Source organism: Homo sapiens, chromosome X (genome assembly GCF_000001405.40).
Source record: "Homo sapiens chromosome X, GRCh38.p14 Primary Assembly".
Classification (NCBI taxonomy): Eukaryota; Metazoa; Chordata; class Mammalia; order Primates; family Hominidae; genus Homo; species Homo sapiens.
In genome coordinates, this window is record NC_000023.11 from 13,711,816 (window position 1) to 13,738,365 (window position 26,550).

The window sequence follows — 26,550 nt, forward strand, 5'->3', positions numbered from 1 at the left end:
CACACATGAAATTTGGCATTTAACTTTAGTAATATACTCACAAGTGTGTTACTAGTGCCTACCTCACCTTCACCAGCCTGGAGAAAAGGCTATTTTCAGGGTACCACTGTTGTGCAGCTGAGCCAAGTCTTCCTGCTCTCAATCAATCACCCTGCTGCTCTTGGCTGCCCTGCATCACAGCCCTCTGGATGATATGCTCATTGAGGGAGGGGCCAACTATATACAAAAAAATACACGTTTGCTGAAATTACTCCTAGATTTCTAGATGAGTATGTAAATTTTTCTGCTCCCAAAGCTCTGGCATCTAGTTTGAGTCAATCTGAGCTCTATAACAGGTGAAGACATCATATTAGTTTGCAGACTAGACTATCAATAGGAGAAATAGGACGAAAGCAGCACTTTAAAAATGGATATTAAACTACCACGATCTTGAGCAAACATCTTTATTTAAGAAATCAAATAGGGTAAAAATTATGCAATTTCACACAAGGATACAAGACAAAGCTTAGAATTACTTGCTCAAAAGTTACTCAGAATGGAACAAAATTGTTCAAGTGCTCCCAATTAGCACAGGCTGTATTACTTGCTTTTCAATGGACATTTACTATTTTACATTAAGATCTACTTATAGGAACAAAGAGACAATTCCCAGCCCCCTCTGGTGTATCACCTAAAAGACTGAATACAAATGTTAATGTAATCCAAGCTTTTCTTTGACAACAATACTAAAAATTGCCTTACAATTTTTTACAAGTACGAGTATCAACAGTTTACTGTCTGAGGGAAAGGAAATATAAGAATATAAAGTGACAGAAGCAACACACTTCACTGTGGCCTGCAACTGCTCCCAGCGTCCTATTTTATAAACATGATTTGGGTTCTCACATTATAGCAGGATCACTATTCCTAGCCTCTGGTGGAAGCAGACATGTGACACTTAGCACTGCACAAGTGTTTCTTTGGCTTCTTGAGTAGTGCTGTGTATACTGCCTATACATTTTTATAACATCTCTAAATGCATAATGTCAACGTATGTGCTATCACATTTCACTCCCAACTGCAGAATATTTTAATTTTAAATTTATCTACCAAATCTTGACTATGACATTTATTTTTGGGTTGTTACATTAAGATCAACCTATCTGGGCCGGGCACGGTGGCTCACACCTGTAATCCCAGCACTTTGGGAGGCTGAGGCAGGAGAATTGCTTGAAGTCAGGAGGCAGAGGTTACGGTGAAACAACTGCCATTGCACTCCAGCCTGGACAACAGAGCGAAACTCCATCTCAAAAAAAAAAAAAAAACCCCAAAGATCAACCTATCTGAATTGGGTAAGTCAAAAGCTTATTCCTGGCCGGGCACGGTGGTTCATGCCTGTAATCCTAGCACTTTGGGAGGCTGAGGCGGGTGGATCAACTGAGGTCAGGAGTTTGAAACCAGCCCGGCCAAAATAGCGAAACCCCGTCTCTACTAAAAACACAAAAATTAGCCAGGTGTGGTGGTGCATGCCTGTAATCCCAGCTACTCGGGAGGCTGAAGAAGGAGAATTGCTTGAACCCAGGAGGTGGAGGTTGCAGTGAGCCAAGACTGTGCCACTGCACTCCAGCCTGCACAACAGGAGCAAGACTCCATCTCAAAAAAACAAAAAACAAAAAACAAAAACAAAAACCCACAAAAAACCAAAAAGCTTATTCCCAATTTTTAAGTAAAAATATTTCATGGCCGGGCGTGGTGGCTCACACGCCTGTAATCCCAGCACTTCCTGAGGTGGGTGGATCACGAGGTCAGGAGTTCAAGACCAGCCTGACCAATATGGTGAAACCCTGTCTCTACTAAAAATACAAAAATTAGCCAGGTGTGGTGGTGCACGCCTATAATCTCAGCTACTCGGGAGGCTGAAGAAGGAGAATTGCTTGAACCCGGGAGGTGGAGGTTGCAGTGAGCCAAGATCGTGCCACTGCACTACAGCCTGCACAACAGGAGCAAGACTCCATCTCAAAAAAAAAAAAAGCGAGCTTATTCCCAATTTTTAAGTAAAAATATTTCATGGTTGGGCACGGTGGCTCACGCCTGTAATCCCAGTACTTTGGGAGGCCAAGGCGGGCAGATCACGAGGTCAGGAGTTCAAGACCAGCCTGACCAATATGGTGAAACCCTGTCTCTACTAAAAATACAAAAATTAGCCGGGCGTGGTGGCACGCGCCTGTAGTCCCAGCTACTTGGAGGCTGAGGCAGGAGAATCGCCTGAACCTGGGAGGCGGAGGTTGCAGTGAGCCAAGATTGCGCCACTGCACTCCAGCCTGGCAACAGAGTGAGACTCTGTATCAGAAAAAAAAAAAAAAAAAAAACATGATTATTGATAATGAACTCTTTATAAATAACACTGTTCACAAGGAAATACCAATTGATCTATTGATACGTGACATGAGACAGAATGTACTATTTTTAAATATAAAAGGAATTTCATTAGGTTTAGATAAGCTGAGAATACACAAAAGTTTTCCAGGCTATTTAATCAAGTAACTTACAATGTACACATTCCTGAGTATACACCATTGTGGTGACATCATTTATTTTGGAATTTTCTGCATTCAGCTTAAAAGGTGTTTCTTCCCAAGAAACTGAACTTTTCTGTCAAATGCACTTGATCGAATAGGAGAATTGGGTTCATAAAATGGATTCATTGAAAACTAGGAAAGAAGAAAGTATTAGTGAAGCAAAAAAGCTGACAAATCTTAAGTTTCTGAAAGGAAATCATTTTAAAGTTTTAAATTAAAAACCAAAGACATTCCAAAGTCTAAAGACCACATTTTTAAGTTTTATTGAAAATGCTGCATTGTTAATAACATCCTCTTAAGGAAATTTTTATTTTGGTGTTTTGGTTTTGAGAAGTATCTGTGGCAAAACTAATGGCAGTATGATAAATGTTGCCTGTGTCAGTTAACTTTCAGAATTTACCGTGTGTGTGAAATACTCATATTCATTATAAATAAATGGATTAATCTCTATGGCCCTTTGGCTACATAAAACAAAAAAATCTGCCATGTGCTCAGAGTTCAGAAAAAGCTATTCTTGTGTGGTAATCTTTTAACAATCAGGTTTTTAATACTCTCCTTTAACACAAGACTGCTAAATGATCAGCTTCTCAAATTAGTGTATCATAACGCATGACAGAAAATCATTAAATGGAATCACTAATGAGGAAAGGCATTGCTGATTTTTATACCTTAATCACTTGACATTGTTCATCTTTATAAGAGGGCTAAATATTACTTACTACCTCTGACTAGGAATACTGTTAAATTGTATTACTGTGCTGATATGCAAGAAATTCTGTCCAAATACAGAACTTATTTAAATTATTAAAAACATATGGGCCAGGCATGGTGGCTCACGCCTGTAATCCCAGCACTTTGGGAGGCCAAGGCGGGTGGATCACTTGAGGTCAGGAGTTTGAGACCAGCCTGGCCAACATGGCAAAACCTCGTCTCTACTGAAAATACAAAAATTAGCTGGGTGTGGTGGTGCACACTTGTGGTCCCAGCTACTTGGGAGGCTGAGGCAGGAGAATCGCTTGAACCTGGAAGGCAGAGGTTGCAGTGAGCTGAGATCACGCCACTGCACTCCAGCCTGGGTGACAGAGCAAGACTGTCTCCAAAACAAAACATACTATTGTTATCACTGCAGTGTAACCATGACGTCCTATTATTATTTTATTTTTCAAAATCAAGAAATGCAAGTGGCGCCATTCTTCTTGAGTGGCTATTTGATCATATAAAAATCACTTCCTGCCAGTTTATGATCTCTATTGCACTGTAACTTATTTGTAAAGTAGATGGAAACATTTTAGATTAAATTATGAAGTAATTTTCCCTTATATAGGCTGCTTTCTTGCTGTCTTTAGGGATCCCTAATAAAATCAGCTATGAGGACAACAAGGTGAAGAATGAAACCAATTTACCTTCACAATCATCTAAAGGTAACTACCATGAAGTTGTGTTCCTAAATACATATTCACCTGGCTGTGAAGACTTACCTGCGGAGGGAGTTGCCAGAGATAGTTCTGATGGGGGAAAGCTAGTCTGAAAGGTAAACTGCAGCCTAAGGGAGTTACTTCAATAGGCCAGTTTCCTGACAAAGGTCGAATCCTTTCTCATCAGAATTTAAAAATTATAGAACATACCATACCTTTATATATAAATCATAAACATCAGTAAAGAAGTTCTTTATTCCATCTTCTTGTCTTATGTCATGAAGCATAATAAACCTCATATGTGAAATAATTAAGGCATAATCTTTCTTAGAAATGAAAAACAAAAAGCAACCAGTTCGTTGATACAGTATTCTTCAAATTAGTCACATGCAGTGTATTTGTGATGGAAAAGTTGAATATATAAACTGGGTTTAAAATTAGCTTAGTTTTATCATAAAGAGAACATAAGCTTTCAAAGTTAGAAAATAACTGTAAAATAAAGTAAAATCACCCTTGATAGGGTCCAGATAAACTCTTTTTGTGTATGAGACTTAGTTTTAAAATTAGCTATTAAACAAAATGTTTTTCCCCCCTAAAAAAAGAAAAGTAGCCCCATAAATGGAAACTTACATTTTCACCTGACTGTGAAGTCTACAGACTCAGAGCCTGGCATCTATGTTCCATGTTCTTCTGGTTTGTGAGCCCAAACTTTAGTTAGTTACCTTTACTAAGAAGGTAAGGATATGCCCCGCAGTGACAAATGCCGACACAAACCACTCGTTGAACTTGTCCACAGTTTTCAAGTACATGTTGTTCGATAGCCACATGTTCTCATCTACGAGGTCGAGAGCAGCATGAGCTATGAACTGGTTCAGATGACGATGGTCGTCCTAGATGACAGTGTGAGCAACCACAGATTAACATTTGCATATGGCATCGAGAATGCTGACATTTCATTCTGTAAATTCTATAGATGGTTTTCTTGTGGGGAAAAAACAGTTTGCTTTTATACTTTGTTATTGTCATGAGACTTATAAAAGATCTGTTTTCATATTATATTCTATTTTTAAATTTGATATCTACATCTCAACAGAAACAGCCAATTAATAAATGAAATGTGTATATAGAGGATTTATACAAAATCATTTATTGAAAATCTTTTTCATATAAATTTTTTTTCATGTTTCAAGAAGGAAGTTACCGAATTCTGTAACCATCTAAACATGTAAAAAAAGGATACTATGTTAAAAAAAAAAAAAAAAAAAAAAAAAAAAAACAAGATCCTGTGGAGAAGAGGTGCCATTCACACTAGGCCTCAAGGTCTGGGAGGAAACTGAGAGGGCGGGGCTTCCTGCACAGTGGCACCAGGTAAGCAGTAGAGACAGTTGAAATGGCGCTTATAACGGCCTGCCAGAGGCCTCTTTCCAGTGCATGGAGCTTACATGACAGCGGGACCTAGGAGTAGTGGGAGGTGATGCTCAGCCCCAGCTGTGAGCAGTCGCCTGTGTCAATAGCAGGACACAGTCCTGTCAGAGCTGGGAGTGTCCTTTTCCTGGGCTGAAATGGCTTAAGTGAACAGAAGGTGGGACTGTCTGACCATAATGTGAAGACGGAATTCAGAACTTGGAATGCAGTCTTACTCCAATGTAGTTCTTTGAAAATACATTTTTTGGCCAGGCGCGGTGGCTTATGCTTGTAATCCTAGCACTTTGGGAGGCTGAGGCAGGTGGATCACCTGAGGTCAGGAGTTCAAGACCAGCCTGTCCAATATGGTGAAATCCCATCTCTACTAATACAAAAATTGGCCGGCTGTGGTGGTGCATGCCTGTAATCCCAGCTACTCGGGAGGCTGAGGCAGGAGAATTGCTTGAACCTGGGAGGCGGAGGCTGCAGTGAGCCGAGATCACGCCATTGCACTCCAGCCTGGGGGACAAGAGCAAAACTCCGTCTCAAAAAAACCCAAGCCATTTTTCAAAGAATACCTGTTATGGGTTGAAGTGTTTCCTCTCTAAAATTCCTTTGTTGAAGTCCTAAGCAACAGTACCTCAGAATGTGGCCTTATATGGAAAGAGGGTTGTTGCAGATGTGGTTAGCTAAGATGAGGTCACACTGGAGTAGGGTGGGCCCCTAATCCAATGGACTGGTGTATTTAGAAAAAGGGAACATTTAGAGATGCACACAGGGAGAAAAATGCCACATGAAGACTGGAGTTATGCTGCCACAAGCCAAGGAACTCCCAGAAGCTGGGAGAGAGGCCTGGACAGACCCTTGTCTTTGTGCCTTCATAGGGAGCATGGCCCCACTGACACCTTGATTTCAGATGGTGGCCCTCAGAACTGAGACAATAAATTTCTGCTGTCCCAAGCCACTCAGTTTTTCGTACTTTGTTACAACAGCCATAGGAAACTGAGACGGCTTCCTTGCCAAGGAGGCTGTTCTCATGCCTGGGCTGGAGGAGGGCGGCCCGTTGCCGTGGAATCCCATGCATAGTTAAAGCATGTTTTACTTCACTCATGTTGCCATGACAAAGCTAAGTGAATCCTTAGAGAAATGGATGTTTTTGTGTCTGGCTCACAGCAGTGTTTTCTTTTACAATGATGATCAATCCTGAAGAATTAGGAGCAAACTGAAAACGCTTTAAGAAAGTGAGTGGTAGCAGGAGAAAGAACTAAAATCAAGTTATGCAACAAAGTATTTTTATGTGTGCTTTGTCCAACACAAGGGCAGTGGAGTGCACAGAAATTACATACAAGTAGCTGCATCCCACAAAGCAGTACTGGTACAGAGATACCTCAAAAACAAGTTTTAATGAGTAGTGTTCTCATAATATGAGAAAATAATGTCACAACTCCACCTCATAGAGAATCCCGTAAACAAATGCCTATCTTATTTTGGTGGCAAGGCCTGAATAGTTGAAAAATACCATATATTATGCATTACAATTAACTTAAAACATCAATTCCTTAAAGGACATTAAAGCCAATTTTTGGAGGTTGGGAGAAACATAGCAAACTTGTCAGCAATTTATTAGAAACAGAAATTGGAAAGAACTGGGCTCTTCTCGTGTCAAAACTCTACAGGTCTGGGCCAGGTGTAGTGGCTCATGTCTGCAATCCCAGCACTTTGGGAGGCCGAGGGCAGGCAGACCACCTGAGGTCAGGAGTTCGAGACCAGCCTGGGCAACATGGCGAAACCCTGTCTCTACTAAAAATACAAAAATTAGCCTGGCACAGTGGTGCGCACCTATAATCCCAGCTACCTGGGAGGCTAATACAGGAGAATTGCTTGAACCCAGGAGGCAGAAGTTGCAGTGAGCTGAGATCGTGTCACTGCACTCCAGTCTGGGCGACAGAGCAAGACTCTGTCTCAAAAAGAATAAATAAATAAGATCCAAATGGTTTTATTTTAAGCATTTGGGATGGTAATCTTTCTTAAAATATATGGTCCATTTCCTTGTCTCAAAAAAAAAAAATACTCTATGGGTCTGAATGGCAATATGTCCTCGAGCTAAGCTTGGTTTTTGGAACCATTCTTGACAAGCAAGTTGGGTGGTATCACCTCTGGTGCTGCTTTTGAGCTTCCTGTGTATGGCCAAGGTGTCACTGGGGAGGGGAGCATACAGGCTCAACCCAGCCAGGAAGTGCTGCAGAAGGCCCCTGAAGTGAGGTGCTGCAGACCCAGTGGCAGCAGGAAGACAGGGAAGTAAGGGTCTTTTCTAACCCAGTAGGTCCTGATGAAAAACATGATTCATGAAAACAGCCTGGACTTTCATGGTATTTCAAGGCGGCAATCCACTACAGGTGAACTATGTCTTTATGTGCTTAAGCAACAGCAATTCATGGTGGGTGACATAGTGAACTGAGTATGATGGGAATGCCAGAGCGTCATGCTAGTCTGTGCTGAACTAAAGGATGAATAAACATCTCCAAGGACATACCCTGGCTGGCTTCTATCAGTCTGTGGGCTCCTGAGCAAGCCTCATTTAATTGTGGTGGATTTCAGTTACCTTATCTGTCCAGATCTTCCAGTTCTAAAATCATATTATACCATATCATTACAATAGCATAAAAATTCTTACGTACTTTGGATTCTGCCTTCCCAGCTGGCAAAAACTCCATTTCAAAAACTGGATTATCATGGTGGCCAACAATTACAAAGTAGAAGCTCCCAGACATGGTCTTCAATATATGGCTCCTAATTAAGTGAAAAATAGTACATATTTTTAGTAGTCAATCTTCAAATTAAAAAATGACTAATGGGAAGTGTAGAATTCTTTTTTAAATTTAAACCTGACATTGTAGAGGAAGATGCTACTAAGCTTGGCAGTTTCCAGTATACTAGCGAAGATACGTAGCTTCTGGAATAAACAAATTATGTATCTATGATATGAATCTGTGAATCTAATGTATTTTCTTAAGTAAACTGGAAGACCTCTAACATGAAATCACAAAGACAACATTCTCATGATCTGAAAATATGGCTCATTCAGCTCAAGGGGCCCTAAGTGTCTGGTAGAGTAAGCTGGGCTTCATTTGGACTGGACCAGTTAGTAGCAGCACGGACACCTAGAAGGATTAACAGAAGGTGGTGGTAAGTCAAGGACAATACAGAGTAGTGGGAAGACCAAGGAAGTAATTACCTTGCCTTAGAAATTTCCAGGAGGCATCCGTCGGGGGAAGCTAAAACCAACTCTACCTCATGTCACTTACCTAGAAAGGACAGACACTGTATCACTGATTCGCAGACTGCGTGTGCTGTATTTGTCTTCTTTCTACTTGAAGTATGTGTGCTATAAATGTAAGTCTTTGCAAATCTAAGAGCCTATGATATGCCTCTTTATATACCAATTTATAAGAAAGGAAGAGTTTTGTATTCTAGAAAAGATGGAAGAAATAATCCATAAAGGAAGACATTCTGAGGCACTGAAAGATCTTGGAACTAAGTTTAACATGTTGGGCCCGGTGCAGTGGCTCACGCCTGTAATCCCAGCACTTTGGAGGGCTGAGATGGGCAGATTGCTTCAGCCCAGGACTTCGAGACCAGCCTGGGCAACATGGTGAAACTCCATCTCTACATGAAATACAAAAAGTAGCCAGGCATGGTGGTATGTGCCTGTAGTCCCAGCTACTCAGGAGGCTGACGCAGGAGGATCACCTGAGCCCAGGGAGGTCAGGGCTGCAGTGAACCAAGATCGCACCACTGCACTCCAGTCTAAGTGACAAAATGAGACCCTGTCTCAAAAAAAAAAAAAAAACAGATTGGCAGAAGAGATGAAACTACGAGAAACTGGGGGGAAAAATATAAGTGATTCCATGGCTTTTAGCACAGATAATTGAAATCTAGATGAATGATGGATGGGTGGGGGCATGGATGGATTTACCCCAAGGTAACCCCACGGTGTGTATTTTTAACACAAGGACTTTGGAGTCAAAGTTAGGTTCAGGTCTAGCTCTGCTACTTACTGGCAGTGTGACCACAGGCAGTCCTTAACTTCCTAATGTCCGTTTTCTCATCTGTTAAATAGTGCTAACACTGTAGCACCTTATGGTGCACTTATGAGGATCACACAATCTAATGCATGTAAAGTACCCAGTACAGTGTCTGACCCACAGTACATGCTCAATTAATGTTAGTGGAATAACATGGGAGACCGTATGCACACTGGGATGTGGTGACTAGTAACTTCTCAACACGGAGTGGAAATCAAGTAAACCGGGAGTTACAGTCAGTCTCCTAGAACATACATCTGAGGTGTGTTAGAAGCCAAGACTTAGCAAGCCTCATTGGGCCTTCTGCTGATTCACACAGAACACACAATGAAATCAGAAGAAATCTGATATGTACTTGCTAATGAATGACACATTTTATAAAGGAAATCAAGGCACAGCTGGCACTTTTAACTCTAGAATTGGAAGGCCATGACTATGGAAGAAAAGGCAGATCAGAACTCCTGGCATGATGACGTAAGATTTAAAATGCTATTTGGGGCAGGGGTGGAGGGGTGGGGGACTATAGACTGCAGGCCAAATCTAGCCTTGCCCATCATTTTGCGACCATCTAAGGCTGCTCTCACGCTTCAATGGCAGAGTTAAGCACCTGTGACACAGACCAGCTGTCCCACAAAGCCAACAATATTTACTATCTGGCCCTTTAAAGAAAATGTTTGCCCCTGTTTTAGGGGAAAGATAAGAAAAAGGTCCAAACAGAAAAAGTGGATAACAAAGACGAGCTGGAATGATAAAAAAGCTATGCAAAACTAGAAGAACTGGCAATAATTCTCCAAAGTGAAGGGAAGGACAGGGAGTTGAAATTTGAACCAAGTAAACAATGATATCATGAATTCTTGCTGGACTAGATTTCAGAGCTGGAGTTTGCCAAGGGAAGGGCTTCTTACTTTCTTCAGTACATTTAAGCAGCAGCAAAAAAAAAAAAAAAAAAAAAAAAAAGCAAAAGCAGCAGCAGAAGGAAATATATGTACACATATGTATAAGCAAGATAACATGCATCCCCACACTCACCCCTATATGGAAAGCCACGAATGGGCAAGCAGCATGGCGCTAAGTCAGCAGGAAGACAGAAAGGGAACTCAAAGACCGACTGCATGAGGATGCTGTTACCAACTACCCAGCTGCGCAAAAGATGAGACAGAGCTTTCTTTATATACATTCCATGCTTGACTTCAGCTGCCAATTATTTGATTTTGTAAACAGCTGAAGAAGCAAGAAGGGCTGTAGCTTTTCATTCAGTTCTGCCAAGGAAAAACTGACAGGTGAAGTGGAAGAACTGAAAACCCTGGGAGAAAATGACCTCATTGTCTCGGGAGGGGAACAGCTGCAAACACTTAGCAAATACTTGAGGGTATGGAGCAAAGGTAAGACACACGCTAGGATTCTGCGCTGTCCAATCTATGGAACTTTCTGCGAGGACAGAAATGTTCTACACCTGTGCTGTCCAATATGTGAGCTAGTGTGCATTAGAAATGTGGCTAGTGTAGGCCAGGCGCGGTGGCTCACGCCTGTAATCCCAGCACTTTGGGAGGCCAAGGTGGGCGGATCACGAGGTCAGGAGATCGAGACCATCCTGGCTAACATGGTGAAACCCCATCTCTACTAAAAATACAAAAAATTAGCCGAGTGTGGTGGTGGGCACCTGTAGTCCCAGCTACTCGGGAGGCTGAGGCAGAAGAATGGTGTGAACCTGGGAGGCGGAGCCAGAAGAATGGTGTGAACCCGGGAGGCGGAGCTTGCAGTGAGCCAAGATCGTGCCACTGCACACTCCAGCCTGGTGACAGAGCAAGACTCCATCTCAAAAAAAAAAAAAAAAAAATGTGGCTAGTGAGAATGTAGAACTGAATTTTAATTAAACATAAATAGCCATATGTGGCTAGTGGCCACAGTACTAGACAGCACAGCTCTAGATCAATGATTCCAAACTAGTGGCACAATCTTAGCGCACTGCAACCTCCGCCTCCCAGGTTCAGGAGATTCTCCTGCCTCAGCCTCTTGAGTAGCCAGGAGTATAGGCATGTGCCACCATGCCCGGCTAATTTTTGTATTTTTAGTAGAGACGGGGATTCACCGTGTTGGCCAGGCTGGTCTCACACTCCTGGCCTCAAGTGATCTGCCCACCTTGGCCTCCCAAAGTGCTGGGATTACAGGCATGAGCCACCATGCCCGGCCTGATTCCAAACGTTTTATAAAAGTTCTGTGACTTCCTCCACCTTCCCTTCACCAACAAAAACAAGTATTACTTAGAATTCCAATATATAATACAGATAAAGCAACTGCCATTACTGAATTACCTGCGTTGACATGACTGTGTATGTATGGTCTGCTCGATTTTCCCATCGCCTTAAATAGGGGCCTTTGAAGCATCTCCAAGAGAGGCTTGGCCCAGAGGTGTTGAGGAGGTAGCTACACAGAATTTGGGAATAGATTAAACTGGGAAATTGAGGACAAGAGGAGAATCTAGGATGGTTTCCATATGTCTAGCTGAGGTGAACAAGCAGAACAGTGGCCCCTCTCCTAAGACATCCACATCCTAATCTCTGCAACTTGTGAGTATGTTAGGGCCCACGGCAAAGAGGAATTAAGGTTGCTCATCAGCTGACCTTAAGATAGGAACATTGTCCTGGATCATCCAGGTGGACCCAATGTCATGACAAGGGCCTTAAAAGTAGAATAGGGAAGCAAAAGAGGAAAGTCAGGGGGAAGTGACAGAAGAATGGTCACAGCAATGTGATCTTGACAGCTTTGAAAATGAAGGAAGGGGCCACAGCCAAGGAATGCAGGAGGCCCCCAGAAGCTGGAAAGTACAAGGAAACAGATTCTTGTTTGGCTCTCAAGTGAGAGCCAGAACTCTCACTTGTGGTGGAAACAGCAGCTGTCTTCAGTGGCTAGGGAAACCTGGGCTTTTGAGAAGGAGAAGACTAAAGAAATAAACTTGGTGATACAAAGAGCTCTCTGACTACCTTAAATTTAAAGAGGCCACATGGAAGATGTAAGAAGTAGGACACTAACTAGTAATGAACATAAAAACGGGACCAGAAATCAGTGAGGCTAGCATCAGAAGGGCAAAGGCCTACAATGAGTTGAAGTGTGTAATATATATTTAAAAAAAAAAAAAAAAAAAGAGGCTTTTTAGGCTACGATCAGGAAAAAGCAAGGGAGAAGGGTCAACTGCTTCAAGCGCTTGCTACACACTGAAATAATGGTGGATGCTGACCTGTTTAACTTCCATTTTCTCTGTTAAATGACTTTTCAAATAGCAAGCATGGAAGAAACAAGGTTAGGCAGGCTGCGAACCTCAAGATAGGTATATTAAGAAAACGTCTAGGGATCCGTTCCAAGATGGCCAAATAGGAACACCTCCGGTCTGCAGCTCCCAGCGTGATCAACGCAGAAGATGGGTGATTTCTGCATTTCCAACTGAGGTACCTGGTTCATCTCATTGGGACTGGTTGGACAGTGGGTGCAGCCCATGGAGGGCGAGCTGAAGCAGGGCAGGGCGTCGCCTCACCCAGAAAGTGCAAGGGGTCGGGGGATTTCCCTCTCCTAGCCAAGGGAAGCCATGACAGACTGTACCTGGAAAAATGGGATACTCCCACCCAAATACTGTGCTTTTCCCAAGGTCTTAGCAACCGGCAGACAAGGAGATTCTCTCCCATGCCTGGCTCGGCAGGTCCCACGCCCACGGAGCCTTGCTCACTGCTAGCGCAGCAGTCTGAGATTGAACTGTGAGGCAGCAGCCTGGCTGGGGGAGGGGTGTCCGCCATTGCTGAGGCTTCAGTAGGTAAACAAGTGGCCAGGAAGCTCGAACTGGGCAGAGCCCGCTGCAGCTCAGCAAAGCCTACTGCCTCTAGACTCCACCTCTCTGGGCAGGGCTTAGCTGAACAAAAGGCAGCAGACAACTTCTGCAGACTTAAACATCCCTGTCTGACAGCTCTGAAGAGAGCAGTGGCTCCCCCAACGTGGTGCTTGAGCTCTGAGAACGGACAGACTGCCTCCTCAAGGGGGTCCCTGACCCCCGTATGGCCTAATTGGGAGACACCTCCCAGTAGGGGCCGACAGACACCTCATATAGGCGGGTGCCCCTCTGGGATGAAGCTTCCAGAGGAAGGATCAGGCAGCAATATTTGCTGTTCTGCAGCCTCTGCTGGTGATACCCAGGCAAACGGGGTCTGGAGTGGACCTCCAGCAAACTCCAACAGACCTGCAGCTGAGGGACCTGACTGTTAGAAGGAAAACTAACAAACAGAAAGGAATAGCATCATCATCAACAAAAACAACATCTACACCAAAACCCCATCTGTAGGTCACCAACATCAAAGACCAAAGGCAGATAAAACCACAAAGATGGGGAGGAACCAAAACAGAAAAGCTGAAAATTCTAAAAATGAGAGTGCCTCTTCTCCTCCAAAGGATTGCAGCTCCTCGCCAGCAATGGAACAAAGCTGGACGGAGAATGACTTTGATGAGTTGACAGAATGAGGCTTCAAAAGGTCGGTAATAACAAACTTCTCTGAGCTAAAGGAGCATGTTTGAACCCATCTCAAGGAAGCTAAAAACCTTGAAAAAAGATTAGACGAATGGCTAACTAGAATAAACAGTGTAGAGAAGACCTTAAATGACCTGAGGGAGCTAAAAACCATGGCACAAGAACTTCATGATGCATACACAAGCTTCAATAACTGATTTGATCAAGTAGAAGAAAGGGTATCAGTGATTGAAGATCAAATTAATGAAATAAAGCGAGAAAACAAGGTTAGAGAAAAAAGAATAAAAAGAAACGAACAAAGCCTCCAAGAAATATGGGACTATGTGAAAAGACCAAATCTACGTTTGACTGGTGTACCTGAAAGTGATGGGGAGAATGGAACCAAGTTGGAAAACACTCTTCAGGATATTATCCAGGAGAACTTCCCCAACCTAGCAAGGCAGGCCAACATTCAAATTCAGCAAATACAGAGAATACCACAAAGATACTCCTCGAGAAGAGGAACCCCAAGACACGTAATTGTCAGATTCACCAAGGTTGAAATGAAGGAAAAAAATGTTAAGGGCAGCAGAGAGAAAGGTCGGGTTACCCACAAAGGGAAGCCCATCAGACTAACAGCAGATCTCTCAGCAGAAACTCTACAAGCCAGAAGAGAGTGGGGGCCAATATTCAGCATTCTTAAAAGAATTTTCAACCCAGAATTTCATATCCAGCCAAACTAAGCTTCATAAGTGAAAGAGAAATAAAATCCTTTACAGAGAAGGAAATGATGAGAGATTTTGTCACCACCAGGCCTGCCTTACAAGAGCTCCTGAAGGAAGCACTAAACATAGAAAGAAACAACCGGTACCAGCCACTGCAAAAACAGGCCAAATTGTAAAAGACCATTGATGCTATGAAGAAACTGCATCAGTTAACAGGCAAAATAACCAGCGAACATCATAATGACAGGATCAAATTCACACATAACAATATTAACCTTAAATGTAAATGGACTAAATGCTCCAATTAAAAGACACAGACTGGCAAACTGGATAAAGAATCAAGACCCATCAGTGTGCTGTATTCAGGAAACCCATCTGATGTGCAAAGACACACATAGGCTCAAAATAAAGGGATGGAGGAAGATCTACCAAGCAAATGGAAAGCACAAAAAAGCAGGGGTTGCAATCCTGGTTTCTGATAAAACAGACTTTAAACCAACAAAGATCAAAAGAGACAAAGAAGGCCATTACATAATGGTAAAGGGATCAATTCAACAAGAAGAGCTAACTATCCTAAATATATATGCACCCAATACAGGAGCACCTAGATTCATAAAGCAAGTCCTTAGAGACCTACAAAGAGACTTAGACTCCCACACAATAATAATGGGAGACTTTTAACACCCCACTGTCAATATCAGATCAACAAGACAGGTTAACAAGGATATCCAGGACTTGAACTCAGCTCTGCACCAAGTGGACCTAATAGACATCTACAGAACTCTCCACCCCAAATCAACAGAATATACATTCTTCTCAGCACCACATTGCACTTATTCTAAAATTGACTACATAATTGGAAGTAAAGCACTCCAGCAAATGTAAAAGAACACAAATCACAAAAAACTGTCTCTCAGACCACAGTGCAATCAAATTAGAACTCAGGATTTAAAAACTCACTCAAAACTGCTCAACTAAATGGAAATTGAACAACTTGCTCCTGAATGACTACTGGGTAAATAACGAAATGAAGGCAGAAATAAAGATGTTCTCTGAAACCAAAGAAAACAAAGACACAAAGTATCAGAATCTCTGGGACACATTTAAAGCAGTGTGTAGAGGGAAATTTATAGCACTAAATGCCCACAACAGAAAGCAGGAAAGATTTAAAATCTACACCCTAACATTGCAATTAAAAGAACTAGAGAAGCAAGAGCAAACAAATTCAAAAGCTAGCAGAAGACAAGAAATAACTAAGATCAGAGCAGAACTGAAAGAGATAAACACACGAAAAACCCTTTAAAAAATCAATGAATCCAGGAGCTGGTTTTTTCAAAAGATCAACAAAATTGATAGACCACTAGCAAGACTAATAAAGAAGAAAACAGAGAAGAATCAGATAGATGCAATAAAAAATGATAAAGGGGATATCACCACCGATCCCACAGAAATACAAACTACCATCAGAGAATACTATAAACACCTCTACGCAAATAAACTGGAAAATCTAGAAGAAATGGATAAATTCCTGGACACATACACTCTCCCAAGGCTAAACCAGGAAGAAGTTGAATCCCTAAATAGACCAATAACAGGTTCTGAAATCGAGGCAATAATTAATAGCTTACCAACCAAAAAAAGTCCAGGACCAGATGGATTCACATCCGAATTCTACCAGAGGTACAAAGAGGAGCTGGTACCATTCCTTCTGAAACTATTCCAATCAACAGAAAAAGAGGGAATCCTCCCTAACTCATTTTATGAAGCCAACATCATCCTGATACCAAAGCCTAGCAGAGACACAATAAAAAAAGAGAATTTTAGACCAATATCCCCGATGAACATTGATGCGAAAATCCTCAATAAAATACTGGCAAACCGAATCCAGTAGTACATCAAAAAGCTTATCCACCATGATCAGGTCAGCTTCACCCCTGGGATGCAAGGCTGGTTCAACATACGCAAATCGATAAACATAATCCATCACATAAACAGAACCAACGACAAAATCCACATGATTATCTCAATAGATGCAGAAAAGGCCTTTGACAAAATTCAACAGCCCTTCATGTTAAAAACTCTCAATAAACTAGGAATTGATAGAACATATCTCAAAATAATAAGAGCTATTTATGACAAACCCACAGCCAATATCATACTGAATGGGCAAAAACTGGAAGCATTCCCTTTCAAAACTGGCACAAGACAAGGATGCCCTCTCTCACCACTCCTATTCAACATAGTGTTGGAAGTTCTGGCCAGGGCAATCAGGCAAGAGAAAGAACTAAAGGGTATTCAATTAGGAAAAGAGGAAGTCAAGTTGTCCCTGTTTGCAGATGACATGATTGTAAATTTAGAAAACCCCATGGTCTCAGTCCAAAATCTCCTTAAGCTGATAAGCAGCTTCAGCAAAGTCGCAGGATACAAAATCAATATGCAAAAATCACAAGCATTCCTATACACCAATAATAGACAGAGAGCCAAAGCATGGGTGAACTCCCATTCACAATTGCTACAAAGAGAATAAAATACCTAGGAATCCAACTTACAAGGGACGTGAAGGACCTCTTCAAGGAGAACTACAAACCACTGCTCAGTGAAATAAAAGAGGATACAAACAAATGGAAGAACATTCCATGCTCATGGATAGGAAGAATCAATATCATGAAAATGGCCATACTGCCCAAGGGTAATTTATAGATTCACTGCCATCCCCATCAAGCTACCAATGACTTTCTTCACAGAATTGAAAAAAACTACTTTAAAGTTCATATGGAACCAAAAAAGAGCCCACATTGCCAAGACAATCCTCAGCCAAAAGAAGAAAGGTGGAGGCATCATGCTACCTGACTTCAAACTATACTACAAGGCTACAGTAACCAAAACAGCATGGTACTGGTACCGAAACAGATATATAGACCAATGGAACAGAACAGAGGCCTCAGAAATAACACCACACATCTACAACCATCTGATCTTTGACAAACCTGACAAAAACAAGAAATGGGGAAAGGATTCCCTATTTAATAAATGGTGCTGGGAAAACTGGCTAGCCATATGTAGAAACCTGAAACTGGATCCCTTCCTTACACCTTATACAAAAATTAATTCAAGATGGATTAAAGACTTAAATGTTAGGGCTGGGCACGGTGGCTCAAGCCTGTAATCCCGGCACTTTGGGAGGCTGAGGTGGTCATATCACCTGAGGTAGGGAGTTCAAGATCAGCCTGACCAACATGGAGAAACCCCGTCTCTACTAAAAATACAAACTTAGCCGGGCGTGGTGGCACATGCCTGTAATCCCTGCTACTCGGGAGGCAGAAGCAGAAGAATTGCTTGAATCCAAGAGGTGGAGGTTGCAGTGAGTCAAGATTGCACCATTGCACTCCAGCCTGGGCAACAAGAGTGAAACTTCGTCTCAAAAAACAAAAAACAAACAAAAAAAAGACTTAAATGTTAGACCTAAAACCATAAAAACTCTAGAGGAAAACCTAGGCAATACCATTCAGGACACAGGCATGGGCAAGGACTTCATGACTAAAACACCAAAAGCAATGACAACAAAAGCCAAAATAGACAGATGGGATCTAATTAAACTAAAGAGCTTCTGCACGGCAAAAGAAACTACCATCAGAGTGAACAGGCAACCTACAGAATGGGAGAAAATGTTTGCAATCTACCCATCTGACGAAGGGCTAATATCCAGAATCTACAAAGAACTCAAACAAATTTATAAGAAAAAAAAAAACCCCATCAAAAAGTGGGCAAAAGATATGAACAGAGACTTCTCAAAAGAAGACATCTATGCAGCCAACAGACACATGAAAAAAATGCTCATCACTGGTCATTAGAGAAATGCAAATCAAAACCACAAAGAGATACCATCTCACGCCAGTTAGAATGGCAATCATTAAAAAGTCAGGAAATAACAGATGCTGGAGAGGATGTGGAGAAATAGGAACACTTTTACACTGTTGGTGGGAGTGTAAATTAGTTCAATCATTGTGGAAGACAGTGTGGCGATTCCTCAAGGATCTAGAGGTAGAAATACCATTTGACCCAGCAAACTTATTGCTGGGTATATACCCAAAGGATTACAAATCATGCTACTATAAAGACACAAGCACACGTATGTTTATTGTGGCACTATTCACAATAGCAAAGACTTGGAATGAACCCAAATGTCCATCAATGATAGACTGGATTAGGAAAATGTGGCACATATACACCATGGAATACTATGCAGCCATAAAAAAGGATGAGTTCATGTCCTTTGTAGGGACATGGATGAAGCTGGAAACCATCATTCTGAGCAAACTATCACAAGGACAGAAAAGCAAACACTGCATGTTCTCACTCATAGGTGGGAATTGAACAATGAGATCACTTGGACACAGGGCAGGGAATATCACACACTGGGGCCTGTCAGGGGGTGGGGGGCTGGGGGAGGGATAGCATTAGGAGGAATACCTAATGTAAATGATGAGTTAATGGGTGCAGCAAACCAACATGGCACATGTATACCTATGTATCAAACCTGCATGTTGTGCACATGTACCCTAGAACTTAAAAGTATAACTAAAGAAAAAAGAAAACATCTAGACATTTCAATAAATCCAAGTCATCAGGTCCTGACAAATTATATACCTTGGATTAACAAATGTGATTGCATAACTGCTGATCAGTGACATTTGAGAAATTGCAAGAAAAATGCCATATCATCCGCTAGGTTAAATGCTATTCCTATTTTCAGAAACAGGAAAAAGGCTTATCTCCTAGTCTATAACAGGGTACATTCAGAGCGACTAGAACACCAACAGAAACGTGTATTAAATGTTTATTTTCAGTCAGATGCCATGCCAGGCACTTTTATTATACATTAACTCATTTAATGTGAATCCCTAGATAAAAACAGATTATTCATTCATATACTCCTGGTTGTACTAGAACAAGTCATACCAAATTTACATTTTTTGTTTCTGAAGGGAGATACGGTAGGTAAACAGAAAGTCATTTTACGAAATATTTTGGTATCTACCTAAGAACAAACTGGAGTCCTGGAGCCTGAGTGAAAATACAGTCTTGCTAGAATGTTGCCCTCCATGAGAGCAGATACACCATTCGTCTCATTCACTATGGTATACCTAGAGCTACAACAGTGCCAGGGACCCAGAAAGCACTCATTATTTGCTGAATGAGGGATGGCTCATAGCCGACTTGAGTGTCAATACTCGGAGAACATTGGGTGCTCCGTGTCAATTTATGGCACAGGGTCTCTAGTAAGGCTTTGAGGTTGACCTTAACCTAGTCTAGCTCAGTATTTGAATCAATAACTTGAATGAAGATAACTTATCACATTCAAAGATAACACCAAGGGCAGCTAACTTATTAGAAGGCAGAAGTTAGGATTAAAAAAGATCTCCATGGCTAGGAGAGTAAGGTGAAATTAACAAGATAGAAGTTAAGAGGATAAGAAAGCAAGCCCTGTACTTGGGCTTAAAAATCAACTGTACAAAAGGACAAGGGAAACCTAGATTAAGAACAGTTCATCTACATCAACCCAAAAGTTCTGCAAGCTCAGTAAGAGGCAAAAGTCTGATAGGTTTGTCAAAAAAGCTAATCAATTCTAGGTGGCATTAAGAGCAAGGTCAGGGAGAATGCTGATGTCCTCTTCAATAATATTATCATCTTTGGGGAAGGTACTCAGTTCTGGGAATCATATTGTAAAAGGATCAATAACTCTGTGTGTTACAGGGGAAGGGAGGGCAGGATCTAGGCTAGGAAATGCTCTGGAAACCAGACAAGAGCAACTGAAGTAACAGAGGATGTTTAAACGGAGTAGGGGAGACCTTTTTGGGGTGGAAAGGGAGTGGGGTACAGCACAGTACTATCTTTAAATACGATAAGCTATCTAATGAAAAAGGGACTTGGCTAGGGATGGCAAATGAGTTTCCTTTCATAAGCGAATTCTAATCAACTGGTAGTGACTGCCAGGAACTGGCGCTGAGAAAGATTCTGAGACTAAATGTGGTCACCAGGAAAGAATGCTGTGATCAATTATCCATGTCTGCTATGAATTTGGGGAAGTGCAGTACCTACAGGAGGGCCAAGTATTTGCTGACTCTGGACTACACAGACTTATTCCAAACCGTTCCATAGGCCAAGCCCAGGGCTGCTCATTTGAAGTCACTGGGAAACTAGAAACTAAGGGGTGGGTGGAACACCAACAGTGCCAGAGTGGGAGGATGCTCAGTGAACTTGGAAGTCTCTTAAGTTGTAGACAAATGCAAGATAAAACTCATGGACTCCAGTTCCAAAGACATCCATTTTTGTAGCATGCCTCTTTACAACCTCTATAGAAGAGCTTCTAGAAAAACTGCCCTGTGCTCGCGAGAGCAGTGATTTCAGTTGTTCCATAAACCTGGGGTCATGAGACTAAACTGGTATGGCATGGGACATGTCTATTACAATGAGGAGGGGCAGTAGGAATACTACTGATAGGTCTTTAATGTGACATTTTTCTATTAATATTATAAGCAATTCTCCCTCCCCTAGAAGTTATGCTAGTTTTTGGAGAACATTTTATCTAATTATATTCATGTATTCAACTGTGGGACCAAAGGTGGAGGTGGGAGTAAGGGGGTCTTCAGGAACATTTTTTTTTTTTAAACAGTGGACAAGTGATTCTACTTAACAACATTTACAACATATCAACATCTTTTTAGAACACTGTTTTCATCATTCCACTCAAAAGCCTTTGATGCATCTCAGCTACAGGATCATGTACTAGTATTCAAGATTCCCACATTGCTCCACGTGTCTTTTCTCAGCCCTATTGTTCCACCTCTGCTAGCGTTGACTCGTTTACTTATTTTTTCTCCCAAATTCACTTTGACTATATCGAGTTCAGAGCTACTATCATTTCTCTCTTCATGCCTGGAATGTTCTCCTTTATTCTGTCTGCAACCACTACCCATCCTTTAAAATCCAACTAAGCCTCTCCTCCTTTTCCATTGTTTCCAACAAAAACTTACAGGTTCTCCACCTCCTATGAAGTCCTGTCACTCTTACTGCCTCTTAAATACTTTAAGTTTTTCACAGCCAGAGATCAAAACTCATCGTACTCATCTTCAATGCTGTACACAAAGCTGACATCCAATTCTGTCCTCACAGGACTTAGATACCATATAAGGCTTATATTCCCAGCACACAACTCTGGAGTCAGGCTAGATTCCTCACTGCTCCCAAGAAGGTCGTGGCTTTTTTTTTTCTTTTAATGATTCCTTTGCTCATTTTTCCCCTTCCTGTGATGTTCTCCTTTTTGCTCACCACCCGAATCCTACCCATCAAGGCCCCGATAAAGACACACTTTTTCCACAGAGATGATCTGGATCACTTCCATCTTCAACCACCTCCCCTTTAAACTCTTTATCCAGTCTACAATGTATCTTAGTTCTTGTTCAATTCTCTGGCTGTAACATTTTCATTATCGCTTCTGAGAGGTTTGGTTCCTTTCCTTTCTAATTACATTTAAGCATCATGAGGACTGGCTCACCTTTACCTCACAGCACACAATGGTTGGTACTCTAAAACGTTTAGCTCTGTGGATCTCAACCCGGAGCGATCTTGCTTCCAAGAGGACATCTGGCAATATCTGGAGACATCTTTGGTTGTCACACTTGGGGGAGAAGGTGATACTGACAAAATAGAGAGCAAGGATACAGCTAAACCTACAATGCACAGGACAGCCTCCCAAAACAAAGAATCTTCCGGCTCCAAAAGGCAACAGTGCAGCCGTTAAGAAACCCTGGGTTAGCTGAATGACCCAGTGAACCGCGAAACCACAGCCCCCGAGAGGGCGGACGTCTGCAGGTGGAAGGGCTGCGCGGATGAGCCAGCGGAGGGCTGGCAGGTCCGGCCCGGCCACCCCGGGGAGGGGTGGAGGTACAGGACCAACATCCGCGTCACGCAGGGGCTACGAAGTCCTCCAGGGACTCAAAACACCCGCCCCCCGCCGCACTTGCTCCATTCCCTACCTGCAGTGGGAGGCCGACAACGGAAACGCAATGTCAGTTTCCGCGGAAGAGACCCGCGCCCCGAACCTGTAGCCAGAACGCCGAAGCAGTTCTCGCGATACCCTGGGATGTGCTCTCGCGATACGTAGGCGGAGCTTCCGGCCGGTGCTGGGCAACCAAGCTCATGCGCCGTAGCTCTTCAGCTCGGGAAGGCTATATTTAGCAGGTTTCCGGAAGTTGCCGGACTGGCTGTGAGGCGGTCCTGCCTCGCTGCCTTCAGTCCCTAGTGTCTGGGTCCCCGCCCTCCAGCCGCCTTTGAGTCGTGCCTGGGTCCTCGCCCTTGCCTCAGAACCGCGAAGAAAGGAAGCTCGCGTGTTTGCTAGAAAACCTAGTTGGGAGTGCGAGGCAGAGAACGTTCAGCACCTTTGTTCCTCCCGAACCCTCGGGACAGAGGCAGGGTTCTGAGGGCAGGGATTCCCCCTCGTCTTGGCCCCACCGCCCGGGCTGGGCACTAAACTCGGGCCGCGGCGGGGCGAGCGAGGCGGGCTCCGGAGGGAGCTGACGCCTGATGATGGCGCAGGTAGACACACCTGCCCCTTCTCGGGCGGAAATAAAGTCTTGTTTTGTGTTCGTTAAACTTTCGCCGCTAGGCCTCTTATGGCTTCCCCGGAGGCCACTGGTCTGTTTTCAGACGTTCACGTTCCCTCTGCCCCGCAGGTAACCTATAACCATTTTGTCTTTTAGTCCAACATGTTTACCGTGGCTGATGTGTTGAGTCAAGATGAACTGCGCAAAAAGCTATACCAGACGTTTAAGGATCGGGGTATACTGGATACACTCAAGGTATCGGATTTAGGCGTATCTGTGTCAGCTTTTACAAGTGTAACCTGTAACAGGTAGTTCAAATTCAATCAAGGTTTAGGTTTTAATAATCGTATGATACATAGATTGTATTGGTGAATTACATTTTTATATTCCCGAATAACTCTGTATCCTGAAACATTACAGTCTCTTGAAAATGTTTGAGAAAATGTTGAGTTTGAGTCGTCTTAAAGGAGCATATTCAAATAATTAATTGAACTGACAATAAGATAGGAGAAGGAAATATTTGTATAATGAACACAGTAAGATTAGGCTTGTTTTATAAATATGGCTTATAGGTTCCTAAATTAATAAGTGGGTTTGTAATACATTTGGATGAAGGACATTGACACCATATAGAAAATACTAGTGTACTGCTTAATAATAGTTTGGGAAATGAAAAATTTTATCTTTAAACTATATTGAAATGTATGAATGTTTAGTTTGGGCAGAAAATACCTATTAGTATGCTTTATATTTGGATTAACAGCCAGGAGTAGGATTAGCTCAACGTGTTTTCATTGAAATATGCATTTCAAAAGCATATTTTACGTTTAAAATATGTAGCTATATCCTGTGTATGTATCCTTTTTTAATTTAAATTATATGGTGAGCATTTCCCTGTTTCCTTAAAAGTTTTTTGAAATCTTCATTTTCAGTGGCAACAGGCTTATCTTTGGATATTTTTGTAATGTATATAGCAGTCCCCTGTTGTTGAATATTTTGGTTATATTCTCCAACAGTCCACAGAGGTGTGATGAAGTGGCAGAATTTTTTCCTATACTTAATATCCCAATCGTAAGCTGCTGAAATGGGCTTCTAGGGAAGTGAAGTTATGAGTCTGCAAGTGGATCTGGCTAACCACCCGTTTCATTTGGAAGCTGGGGAAAGAAAGCTTTTTCTAGAACCCACTGGACTGCTTGTCTCACGGGGTAAGACAAAGTGTGCAGGGGAAGGTTTCTAACTTCTGGCCATGGATCTAGAACCATTATGGAAATAGAAGGAAGGTTTCCAATGAATGTAGCTCATCTGTGTATATCTCTAATGAAACAGTCCTGCTGAAATTTCTTTCCCTTGTGTTTCTTTTTTATTTTTGTTTTTATTTTATGCTAGACACAACTTCGAAACCAGCTAATTCATGAGTTGATGCACCCTGTATTGAGTGGAGAACTGCAGCCTCGGTCCATTTCAGTAGAAGGGAGCTCCCTCTTAATAGGCGCCTCTAACTCTTTAGTGGCAGATCACTTACAAAGATGTGGCTATGAATATTCACTTTCTGTTTTCTTTCCAGAAAGTGGTTTGGCAAAAGAAAAGGTAAAGTCTTTCCTTTTCTGTTTCTGAAGTTTTTATTAACAGGTTCTTCCTCTGCTGACAGTAAAGTGCTGTATGATAGCTAAGTGCTCCTCGACTAGGTCCATTTCTGTTTCCTCTTTGAATTCACATTGTACCTGCACATAATATATTTGTTATATAACAAGTGGGTACTAAATTTGAAATTAATTTCTTGGCGTCTCATTTAGTCTCACATAAAACAGTGATGTATAGAATCTCTAAATGTTTCAGACCTATAATTGATCTATCTATCCTCTATCTTGTCTAATAAGACTCTGCCAATCTGCTGAATGTCTGCTGTAAGCTTGGCACTGTGATAGGCACACTGCAGATGTTTTGTGTGTTACGGATGAGGAACCAGACTCTGGAGAGGTGAATCAATTTGCCCAACATCAAGTAACTTTTAAGTGACAATGCAGGGTGGTAAATCTAGATCTCTAACATGAGCTCTTTTTTTCCTGCACTAGTTTCTTCAGATGTTTCTCTTTGTAATTAGATAAGTGAGAAATACGTAATTTAAAAAATCTGTAAAGTTCTCAAATATTAAAAACACTTGTTTTTTTTTTTTACTACTTTTCTAATTATTTTAACTATATTTCTTCACCATTACTGTTGAACATTAGTACTACTTTATTATTTTAAAGGCAGATACAGCAGACTTTCCCTGTGGATATGTGCGTGTTTTTTTTTTTTTAATAGACTTTATTTTTTCAGAGCAGTTTTGGGTTCACAGCAAAGTTAAGTGGGAAGTACAGAGAATTCCCATATACCTGCTGCCCCTACACACTCATAGCCTCCCCCACTGTCAACATCTTGCATCAAGGTGGTACATTTGCTACAATCTATAAGCCTACCCTGACATGTCATTATCACCCAGAGGCCATAGTTTACAGTGAAGGTTGCAGTGAGCCGAGATCATGCCACTGCACTCCAGCCTGGGTGACAGAGCGAGACTGTCTCAAAAATAAAATAAATTTCACTCTTGGTGGTGTTCATATGTTTTTACTTTCTTTGTGTTTTCTGTAATTATCCAAAAGTTTCATATTCCAAAGTTTTAGTGACACAAGCTTAGTACAGTATTTGAATGAAAACTTAAATAATTTGCATTTCTTCATAAGCAACCAAATTTTATTTGTCAGCATTAGGAATTTATTTATTAATTTATGTTTTTGAGACAGAGTCTTGCTCTGTTACCCAGTCTGGAGTGCAATGGCGCAGTCTTGGCTCACTGCAACCTCTGCCTCCTGTGTTCAAGCAATTCTCCTGCCTCAGCCTCCCAAGTAGCTGGGATTACAGGTGCCCACCACTACACCTGGCTAACTTTTTTATTTTTAGTAGAGAGGAGGTTTCACCATGTTGGCCAGGCTGGTCTCGAATCCTGACCCCAGGTGATCTGCCCACCTCAATCTCCCAAAGAGCTGGGATAACAAGCATGAGCCCTCGTGTCTGGCCTGGAATTCATTTTTGATACATCATTCTCTAACTTTCTAATCACTTTATACTTTTACTTATTGTGTAATAGTCAATAATACAATTATATAGCAGGAATTAATCCTATTCATACAACTTAACGGTTTCTACTAATGTAAAATGCCCATGCAGAATATTTACTTTAAAGGAAAACCAATTGAAAACAAATATCAGTGTTCTCAGAGCAGACATAGTGAAT

At 41.9% G+C, this 26,550-nt stretch overlaps 2 protein-coding genes across 24 annotated transcripts in view, besides 3 other annotated features; one reads left to right on the forward strand and one right to left on the reverse strand.

Annotated features, from left to right (window-relative positions):
• On the reverse strand, nucleotides 430-22,805 carry TRAPPC2 (trafficking protein particle complex subunit 2). 6 transcript variants are annotated; one of them, XM_011545566.3, is made up of 6 exons: nucleotides 22,710-22,805; nucleotides 8,613-8,682; nucleotides 8,056-8,167; nucleotides 4,719-4,863; nucleotides 4,189-4,274; nucleotides 430-2,690 (listed from the first exon to the last, which is right to left on the reverse strand). In XM_011545566.3, the coding sequence occupies exons 3-6, from the start codon at nucleotides 8,146-8,148 to the stop codon at nucleotides 2,592-2,594; spliced, it is 423 nt and encodes a 140-aa protein (XP_011543868.1). In that variant the 5' UTR covers nucleotides 8,149-8,167; nucleotides 8,613-8,682; nucleotides 22,710-22,805; the 3' UTR covers nucleotides 430-2,591. The 6 variants fall into 6 exon arrangements, with proteins under 6 accessions (XP_011543868.1, NP_001122307.2, NP_001011658.1 ...); NM_001128835.3 differs by lacking the exon at nucleotides 8,613-8,682 and adding an exon at nucleotides 22,235-22,370; NM_001011658.4 differs by lacking the exon at nucleotides 8,613-8,682 and adding an exon at nucleotides 22,229-22,370.
• The window catches only part of OFD1 (OFD1 centriole and centriolar satellite protein), a 59,234-nt gene continuing 35,373 nt past the window's right edge, over nucleotides 2,690-26,550 (forward strand). For 9 of the 18 annotated variants that reach the window (XM_047442584.1, XM_047442588.1, XM_047442583.1 and 6 more), the window contains exons 1-3: nucleotides 2,690-3,979; nucleotides 23,433-23,531; nucleotides 24,663-24,863. In XM_047442584.1, the coding sequence (XP_047298540.1) occupies nucleotides 3,947-3,979; nucleotides 23,433-23,531; nucleotides 24,663-24,863 (333 nt within the window). In that variant the 5' untranslated portion in view covers nucleotides 2,690-3,946. Of the gene's footprint in view, nucleotides 3,980-22,932; nucleotides 23,269-23,432; nucleotides 23,532-24,662; nucleotides 24,864-26,550 lie in introns of those variants that run through there. The other 9 variants (NM_001330210.2, NM_003611.3, NM_001440947.1 and 6 more) reach the window with 1 other exon arrangement.
• Nucleotides 22,307-23,506: an enhancer, noted in NCBI's record as "CDK7 strongly-dependent group 2 enhancer chrX:13752241-13753440 (GRCh37/hg19 assembly coordinates)". NCBI's record gives its function as "activates an origin of replication core promoter dependent on BRD2, BRD4, P300/CBP, MED14 and CDK7 cofactors, with strong dependence on CDK7, by STARR-seq in HCT116 cells {active_cell/tissue: HCT116}" and the evidence as "EXISTENCE:reporter gene assay evidence [ECO:0000049][PMID:35650434]".
• Nucleotides 22,307-23,846: a biological region, named in NCBI's record as "CDK7 strongly-dependent group 2 enhancer GRCh37_chrX:13752241-13753440".
• Nucleotides 23,275-23,846: an enhancer, noted in NCBI's record as "H3K27ac hESC enhancer chrX:13753209-13753780 (GRCh37/hg19 assembly coordinates)". NCBI's record gives its function as "activates a minimal SCP1, AML or CMV promoter by ChIP-STARR-seq in naive H9 embryonic stem cells {active_cell/tissue: H9 hESC(naive)}" and the evidence as "EXISTENCE:reporter gene assay evidence [ECO:0000049][PMID:30033119]".

Bases quoted from the DNA above. Each gene is read 5' to 3' on its own strand.
- TRAPPC2 (NM_001128835.3), bottom strand. From the start codon at position 22,317: ATGTCCTCTTGGAAGCAAGATCGCTCCGGGTTGAGATCCACAGAGCTA. The intron at 8,168-22,234 runs GTAAAGGTGAGC...TCACTTAATTAG, and splicing joins CAACCATTGTGTGCTGTGAG to GAGCCATATATTGAAGACCA. The intron at 2,691-4,188 runs GTATGGTATGTT...CTTCTTTCCTAG, and splicing joins TTTATGATTTATATATAAAG to TTTTCAATGAATCCATTTTA.